The sequence below is a fragment of the Homo sapiens genome, chromosome 10 (genome assembly GCF_000001405.40).
Source record: "Homo sapiens chromosome 10, GRCh38.p14 Primary Assembly".
NCBI classification, from domain to species: domain Eukaryota; kingdom Metazoa; phylum Chordata; class Mammalia; order Primates; family Hominidae; genus Homo; species Homo sapiens.
The window spans coordinates 72,324,509-72,332,857 of NC_000010.11; the positions used below are offsets into that span (position 1 = coordinate 72,324,509).

Genomic DNA, 8,349 nt, shown 5'->3' on the forward strand with positions numbered 1-8,349 from the left:
TCAAGCAATTCTCCTGCCTCAGCCTCCCAAGTAGCTGAGATTACAGGCGCCCACCACCACGCCTGGCTAATTTTTTTTTTTTTTTTTTTTTTTTTTGTATTTTTAGTAGAGATGGGGTTTCGCCATGTTGGCCAGGCTGGTCTTGAACTCCTGACCTCAGGCGATCCACCCGCCTCGGCCTGCCAAAGTGCTGGGATTACAGGCGTGAGTCACCGAGCCCGGCCAAAATCTTCAAATTCTTAATCGCTGGTTTCTGCTGACAGTGAGGTCTGTTATGCAGAGTTCAGTAGGGCCACAGGTCCCTTGTCCCTTCTCAGGGAAGGGACCGGGCCAAAACTTTCTATGCAATGGCCAACCCTGTGGGGCACTTCCAGGTGTGTGTAGGATGTTCAGTCCCCAACAGCATGCAGGAAGGTGTGACTCCCACTGGCAGACAAGGGAGGGGCTCAGGGGTCTTAGGAGGCTGGTTACTGATACCCCTGTGGATGCAGGGCTGGGTGCCTGGACAGGAGCCCAGGTCCTTTCCTGGAGCCACAGTCTGGGGCCCTGGCCCAGGCCCAGGTTTTCCCTGGCTTACTCCGGGGGTGCTGGCACCTGCAGACACCAGCAACAGAAAGAGGCAGGAGTCGATGAGGGAGGCGGAGAGGAGGGGGACTTTCCTTCTTCTGCTGGGGGTCTGGGGCGTCCTTTTCCAGGCTGAGGAGTAGGGCTACCCATTTCCCCATCACCTTCCGGCCAGGGGCAGTGGGTAGAGGAGGAGGCCGAGATTGCACAAACAGGTATGGGAGGAGGCCAGCAGCCAGGCAGCTGGCTGGGGTCGCCCAAGGGCCGTGAGAGAGTCCCCAGTGCCCGTACTGACATCAATGGCGCCCGGAGGGACTCAGTCGGTCATCTAGCAGTCTTCTCTAGCTCTCACAACAGGCACTGGGGGTTGGGAGGAGCCAGAGGTCCCTGCTCCCCACTCCACGCGTCCCTCCCAGCTGCTGAGCTGGAAACTCGAGCCAAGTCAACAGTTCCTTGAATTGTGTTACAGCCCCGGCTGCCCCTCCAGAGCTAATAATATGGGCAGCTGCAGGACATGAAACTCGATCCTCCAGGCTCCAATACCACCCCACCGCAGCCAGGCTGGCAGGGAGTGGGCGGATGTTGGGCCCAGGGTCCTGAAAGCAGAGGCCTGGGCTTGGGATCCTGGGGTGAGGCCGGGTCCGGGAGGGGCCCCGGCCCCCCCAGTGGGGTGTTTATACAAAGTTGACATGGGTCAAGCTGAGAGGTGACAGCGTGCTGGCAGTCCTCACAGCCCTCGCTCGCTCTCGGCGCCTCCTCTGCCTGGGCTCCCACTTTGGTGGCACTTGAGGAGCCCTGCAGCCCACCGCTGCACTGTGGGAGCCCCTTTCTGGGCTAGCCAAGGTCAGAGCCGGCTCCCTCAGCTTGCAGGGAGGTGTGGAGGGAGAGGCGCGAGCGGGAACCCGGGCTGCGCGCGGCGCTTGCGGGCCAGCTAGAGTTCCGGGTGGGCGTGGGCTTGGCGGCCCCGCACTCGGAGCAGCCCGCCGGCCCTGCCGCCCCGGGGAATGAGGGGCTTAGCACCCGGGCCAGCGGCTGCGGAGGGTGTACTGGGTCCCCCAGCAGTGCCAGCCCACCGGCGCTGCTCTCGATTTCTCACCGGGTCTTAGCTGCCTTCCTGAGGGGCAGGGCTCGGGACCTGCAGCCCGCCATGCCTGAGCCTCCCACCCCCTCCATGGGCTCCTGTGCGGCCCGAGCCTCCCCGATGAGCGCCGCCCCCTGCTCCACAGCGCCCAGTCCCATCGACCACCCAAGGGCTGAGGAGTGCGGGCCCACAGCGCGGGACTGGCAGGCAGCTCCACCTGCAGCCCCGGTGCACGATCCACTGAGTGAAGCCAGCTGGGCTCCTGAGTCTGGTGGGGACGTGGAGAACCTTTATGTCTAGCTTAGGGATTGTAAATACACCAATCGGCACTCTGTATCTAGCTCAAGGTTTGTGAACACACCAATCAGCACCCTGTGTCTAGCTCAGGGTTTGTGAATGCACCAGTCGACACTCTGTATCTAGCTACTCTGGTGGGGCCTTGGAGAACCTTTGTGTCCATACTCTGTATCTAACTAATCTGGTGGGGATGTGGAGAACCTTTGTGTCTAGCTCAGGGATTGTAAATGCACCAATCAGCGCCCTGTCAAAACAGACCAGTCGGCTCTACCAATCAGCAGGATGTGGGTGGGGCCAGATAAGAGAATAAAAGCACGCTGCCCGAGCCAGCAGTGACAACCTGCTGGGGTCTGCTTCCACACTGTGGACGCTTTGTTCTTTCGCTCTTTGCAATATATCTTGCTACTGCTCACTCTTTGGGTCCACGCTGCTTTTATGAGCTGCAACACTCACTGTAAAGGTCTGCAGCTTCTACTCCTGAAGCCAGCGACGAACAACTCCAGATGTGCCGCTTTAAGAGCTGTAACACTCACCGCAAAGGTCTGCAGCTTCACTCCTGAGCCAGCGAGACCACGAACACACCAAAAGGAAGAAACTCGCGACACATCCAAACATCAGAAGGAACAAACTCCAGACGCGCTACCTTAAGAGCTGTAACACTCACCGCGAGGGTCCGTGGCTTCATTCTTGAAGTCGGTGAGACCAAGAACCCACCAATTCCGGACACAAGGCTAGCAGGGCTGACACCTATAAACTCAGTGGCTGACAGAGGCTGACATCCTTAGTGACTGAACTAGTGAGGTCTGTGGGATGATAATTATAATAAGATTTTTTTTTTGAGACAGAGTCTCGATCTTGTTGCCCAGGCTGGAGTGCAAGGGCGTGGGCTCACTGCAACCTCCGCCTCCTGGGTTCAAGTGATTCTCTTGCATCAGCCTCCTGAGTAGCTGGGATTACAGGCGTGCGCCACCACACCTGGTAATTTTGTATTTTTAGTAGAGACAGGTTTCGCTGTGTTGGTCAGGGTGGTCTTGAACTCTTGACCGCAAGTGATCCACCTGCTTCAGCCTCCCAAAGTGCTGGGATTATAGGCGTGAGTCACCACGCCTAGCCTATAATAAGATTTTTTTTTTTTTGAGACGGAGTCTCACTCCGTTGCCAGGCTGGAGTACAGTGGCACAATCTCGGCTCACTGCAACCTCCGCCTCCTGGGTTCAAGCCATTCTCCTGCCTCAACCTCCTGAGTAGCTGGGACTACCAGCATGTGCCACCAACACCCAGCTAATTTTTGTATTTTTAGTAGAGACGGGGTTTCACCATGTTGGCCAGGATGATCTCGATCTCTTGACCTCTTGGTCCACCCGCCTCGGCCTCGAAAAATGCTGGGATTACAGGCGTGAGCCACCTCACCCAGCCGATAATAAGATTTTATAAGTAAATGATACAGATGAAAAGTGCCTCCTGGCCTAGCGTGTCCATGGCGGAGGCTGGAACTCCGATCTTTGGGCTCAGTGCTTCCATGCCAAGGTGGGACCAGAGAGAGACTGAGGACTAAAGACATCCACAGAGAAGCAGCTCTGAGCACCTGCGGTGGCCTCCCAAGGCCTGTCACTCACAGCCTGAACACCATGGACACACTTGCTGCCCATGTGGCCCCTGCAGTGGTGGTAGCTGGCTTGTTTGACTTGTGGCTGGAAGCAAAATTAGGGCCCACGATGCCACCTTCTGCACGCAGGCCATGGGCTGGCAGCCAGCAGATGGCAGAGCCTGCCAGAGGTGATTCCAGGGCTTGTGGCCAGGGCAGCACTGGGGCGGCCGGGGACAGAATTGGGTCTGACTCCAGGAGTGGCTGGCCTGAGTGCTGGAGAGAGCCTCCTCCTCTACCCCTTGGGGTGGTGACCTCTTCGGACAGGAGTCCGCACTCCTCTCAATGACCAATGTTTGTGATTCTCATTTTGGCCCCTGCTACATTTGTCCTTACGCAGGGAGAGGAGACCTGGGGCCTTTTCAGCAGGATCAGCAGGACTCTGCTTCCCCCCGGAGGCAGGAAAAGGAAAAAGCCCCCGCCCAGTGCCCGTCCCATGAGCGACTGCTGCCTCCAGCCACCGTCCAGCTGGATGCACACCGTGGCTGATGGCCCTGGGTCTAAGCCCTCTAAGATCTGGGAGAAGTGTCCCCCAGCCAGGGTGTGGGTTTATGGCTGCAAAGCAGCTCCCTAGGGTGACCCTGGGCAGAGGAGTAGGCGAGGCTGGGAATGCTGCAGGTGGGGACAGTGCCTCAGTGCTGATGGGCCCTTCCTTCACTCAGCCTCCCATGGAGACCCCAGGTTGTGGTGCCCAGGCCCTGGGGCTGCAGCCCTGAACCTCTTCTCCAGGGAAGCCTTTGCCTAAGAACTACACAAATACCTCCAGAACAGGATGTGAGAGGCCCAAAAGGGCCAGGCCAGACCTCCCTGAGGAGGTGGCAGGAGGTTGGGCCCTGAGGGGTGAGAGGAACCTCAGGCAGAAGGGAACCCGGGTAGCAGGGCTCCACGGTGGAGGGAGGGGCTCCGCAGGCTGCAGTCAGGGTGGGAGGGCCCTGCACAGTATGTGGGGCCAGGAGGAGTGCAGGGGAGGTTTTGGGCTGTCAGTGTGGGGGAATGAGGCCGGGCCTGGCCAGCTCCATTCTGGCCCCACTTTCTCCATCTGAAGGAGCCCGCTGCATCCTCCTGTGCTGCCAGGCACCTGTCTCTCAGGCCTCCTCATCTGAGTCCATCAGGAAAATGAGAATAATCCAGTCGAGGTAGTGGGACTGCCAGCTGGGGTCCCTGCAGGCCCTAGCCTGATCCCTGCTCTGACTAGCACGGGCTCCAGTGGGGAGCTGCACCCTGCCTCCTCAAGGAAAAATCCAGCCAGGGAGCAGCCCTGCCCTCCCTCCCTAGGGACTTTGTTTAGACCAAATTGGTAGGAGGGTGGGGAAGGTGGACAAAATGTGGCAGGCCCTCCCCTCCCCAAGCAAAGCCCCAACTCCCGGGCTCTGGGCAGACTAGCCGTGGGGTCCTAGAGAGCGCCTGCCCGCCTGCCCCTCTTCCTGCCTGAGCCCTGGACCTTTATTTCATGCCCAAGTGGCTGTGAGAGTGACAGGAGGTCCAGGCCCTGTCCCTAGGGAAATATCTCCTTACAAGGGTCTGGGGCGGGAGTGACAGTCCTGTCTGCCCTGTTACCCCCTCCACCACATGGCCTTCTCTCAGCTTATAGAGTTAGTTGCAGCCTCCCTAAGGGCAGGCAGGCCACCAAGAAAGGTTCAGAAATGCTTGCTGAGTGAATTGCTGAGTGGACAGGGTGCAGCCAGGAGTGGAGAAGCTCAGTGTCTCTCATTCATGCCTGGGAAAGTTCTCTGCCCAAGGCCACTGGGTGGGCCTGGCATGATGACAGGTACAGACTGGGGGCCTGGCCTGGGCATTGCTCCCAAATGCGCTCACTTCTGCACTCTCCGGCCTCCGGGCCTCTGCTCATGCTGGAGCACCCACTCCACCCCCACCCCAGTACTGCCTGTACCCACCTCCTTCACAAACGCCAGTTCCTCTATCAAGAGTCCCTGGCTAGAGCCTTCACAACTGCTCCGCTCCCAGGGTTTCTACTCAAGGGCAGTCCTCGTCTCAGTCACCTTGGAGCTTTCACTGCTTGGAATGGGACTTGACACCCAGTCATTGCTCAGCTAATCTTTGTCCACTAAGGACAAACAAGAAACACCCAAATGGCACTCGCCATGTACCAGGCACTGTTCTAAGTGCTTTATATGTGGTAACTTGTTTACTCCTCACAACCATCCTATGAGGTAGGTGTTTGTATCACTCCCATTTTGCAGATGAAGACACTGAGGCAAAGGGCAGTCAAATGACACAGGAAAGCAAAAACTGGCTCCCTCCACCCTTCTAGGGTCTTTGACTGTGCTAGGAATTACATGGACAGATAAAGTGGTTAACAGGAGAAAAATCATATTTAATTACGTACATAGGCATGGGAGCCCCACAAAATATGCAATTTCAAGAAAGATCACATCTTGAGCTACAGAAAAGGAACTGGGGTCCAGGATAACCTTTGTACCTTAAAAAAAAAACCAAAAAAAAAAAAAAAAAAAAAACGGGCTGGGAGCTTCTGGTGGGTGATGGCAATGCAAGTTTGGGAGGGTGAGGGGAGGAACTGCATGGTGAGCAAAAGTTGTCTCGTTATGCAGATAAAAAGTCAGTCTCGGCCAGGCATGGTGGCTCATGCCTGTAATCTCAGCACTTTGGGAGGCTGAGGTGGGCGGATCACGAGGTCAGGAGATCGAGACCATCCTGGCTAACACAGTGAAACCCTGTCTCTACTAAAAATACAAAAAAATTAGCCGGGCGTGGTGGCAGGCACCTGTAGTCCCAGCTACTCGGGAGGCTGAGGCAGGAGAATGGCGTGAACCCGGGAAGCGGAGCTTGCAGTGAGCCGAGATTGCGCCACTGCACTCCAGCCTGGGTGACAGAGCGAGATTCCATCTCAAAAAAAAAAAAAAAGTCAGTCTCTCAGGTCTTAACAGTTGTCTGAGCAGCCCCAAGAATAATAGGCAGTTGTTGTCAATGAGTCAATCCTCCTTGGTAGGTAAGATTTCCAGGAGGGAGTTCAGGACAACTTAGGCAGATGAGGCAACTTCAGAGAAAGCCCTTCCTGCACTTGCTGTTGCTCAAGTGCCCCCAGTTTGAAGTAATCAGCACACCAAAATGGCAGATTTTGGGGTGGCATTTCCTGAACTCCTTCAGGGACACCCAAGGTCACCCAGTCAGTAAATGGCAAAGATCCAGCCTCAGCCCCCGTGGGGGCTGCGAGGCTGCCTCCTGGGGATGACGTTTCCTGGTGCAGCCAGATGGATGCCCGTGTCACTGCCAGGAGACACCTACTGGAATGGGCAGCTGCTCCCTAGGCCAAGCCCATCAGATGAAGTGCCACCATCCTCAGTGTGGCCTTTTCATCCTTTTCCACCCTCCTGGACTCGGGTCTTCTGCCCACTCTACCTGACACCAGTGGGTTTGATTTCCCTGAGTGCAGCAAATTTGGGCTCAGCAACTGTTTGTAGAATGACCACTCTGCTACAAGGACCCCAGAGACAGGCACAGTTTCTTCAAGACCCTGGGCGCCACTTTCCTCCCCCAAGCCTGTTTCCTGCTCTGGGAAATGAGCTGACTTGCTCATGTCACATGGCGTGATGTCTGGTAGGGACGCTGGGTTGCTTCTGAACCATGTCAACAGTCTATTTACCTGATTCTTGGCATGGCTGTGTGCCTGCTCCAGACGCCAGGTGACTTTGTCTGGGCAATGTGGGGTGGGGATGAGGTTACAGGCAGGTCGGGTGTGTGCTCCTTGTCCCTGGAGCAGTTTTTTTTTCTCTGGACCTGGGAGCAGCAAGGGACAAGGCTATAAGCTAGTGGAGCCAGGGAGCTGGGATGCAGTGGCGCGTTCTGCCACCTGACAGTGGGTGGGGGACACTTGTCAAAGCCTTTTTTGCTGCAGTCAGAGCGTGCATCCCACCTCCTCTGGCTCACGGCCAAGCCACACAGGGAGGGCAGGGGGGATGAGGTGGGTGAATGGGGGTGCCTGCAACGCCTCTGCCAACCGCAGCTAACAAGTGGCGGCTTGCACACCAGGGCAGGCAGTGGTGACCCTGGGCAGGGGCAGCCAATGAGCTCCCGGGCCACGGTGGCACCACTGGGCAGCCCGCCTGTCTTTGGCTGGTGCAGCCGCGGGAGGGGCCTGGGTCCGCCAGTCAGGGCTGCCGGGCCCTGTCTCTGGGAGGCCTGGGCAGATCTGCCGCTCCATTCACAGGAGCCCGACCCGACTTGGGCTGCCACATTTTAAACTTTTTCAACCTCCTGGAGAGGAGGGCGGGCTGCGGGGGCGGTTTGGGGGAGGATGGTGGGAAGGACGATGGAAACAAACTCGCAACACTTTTCCCAGGATCTGGCTCCTGAGTGGGATCGAGCTCCAGGCTGGGGCCGGGAATTTCGAATGCTCTGCGGGCACATGGCAGGCCTGAGGGTGTGGGGGGGAGGGATTGGGAGAGGGAAAAGCAGAGGGTGATGGTCGTGGCCCAGATGCCCAGCCAGGACTGGCGCTGGGGACCCCAGGGACCCAGACTGCTCAGGTCCTGCAGCCCCCCAGTCACCTGAGCACCCCTCTGCCTGGATGGAGTTAGTTCTGGAACAGCATGTGTGGCTTAAGTGGCTGTTAGCCAGGGCCAGGGGTCGGGGGAAATTCAGGCTCATCATCTAGAGCTCCTTGTGGCACAGGCTGGACAGTGTCAGCAGCAGCAGGGGCTTGTGCCCCCTCCCCCCCACCCCTTAGGCCTCCCTGCTCAATGCAGACCCACCACGGCCAGTCACATAATAAACATATATTAAC

The 8,349-nt window shown here is 57.5% G+C and overlaps 3 annotated features.

The window, feature by feature from the left end:
• Positions 297–1,258: an enhancer, noted in NCBI's record as "H3K27ac-H3K4me1 hESC enhancer chr10:74084563-74085524 (GRCh37/hg19 assembly coordinates)". NCBI's record gives its function as "activates a minimal SCP1, AML or CMV promoter by ChIP-STARR-seq in primed H9 embryonic stem cells {active_cell/tissue: H9 hESC(primed)}" and the evidence as "EXISTENCE:reporter gene assay evidence [ECO:0000049][PMID:30033119]".
• Positions 4,070–4,269: an enhancer, noted in NCBI's record as "active region_3543". NCBI's record gives its function as "activates an Ori minimal core promoter by ATAC-STARR-seq in GM12878 lymphoblastoid cells {active_cell/tissue: GM12878}" and the evidence as "EXISTENCE:reporter gene assay evidence [ECO:0000049][PMID:35858748]".
• Positions 7,553–7,802: a silencer, noted in NCBI's record as "silent region_2474". NCBI's record gives its function as "represses an Ori minimal core promoter by ATAC-STARR-seq in GM12878 lymphoblastoid cells {active_cell/tissue: GM12878}" and the evidence as "EXISTENCE:reporter gene assay evidence [ECO:0000049][PMID:35858748]".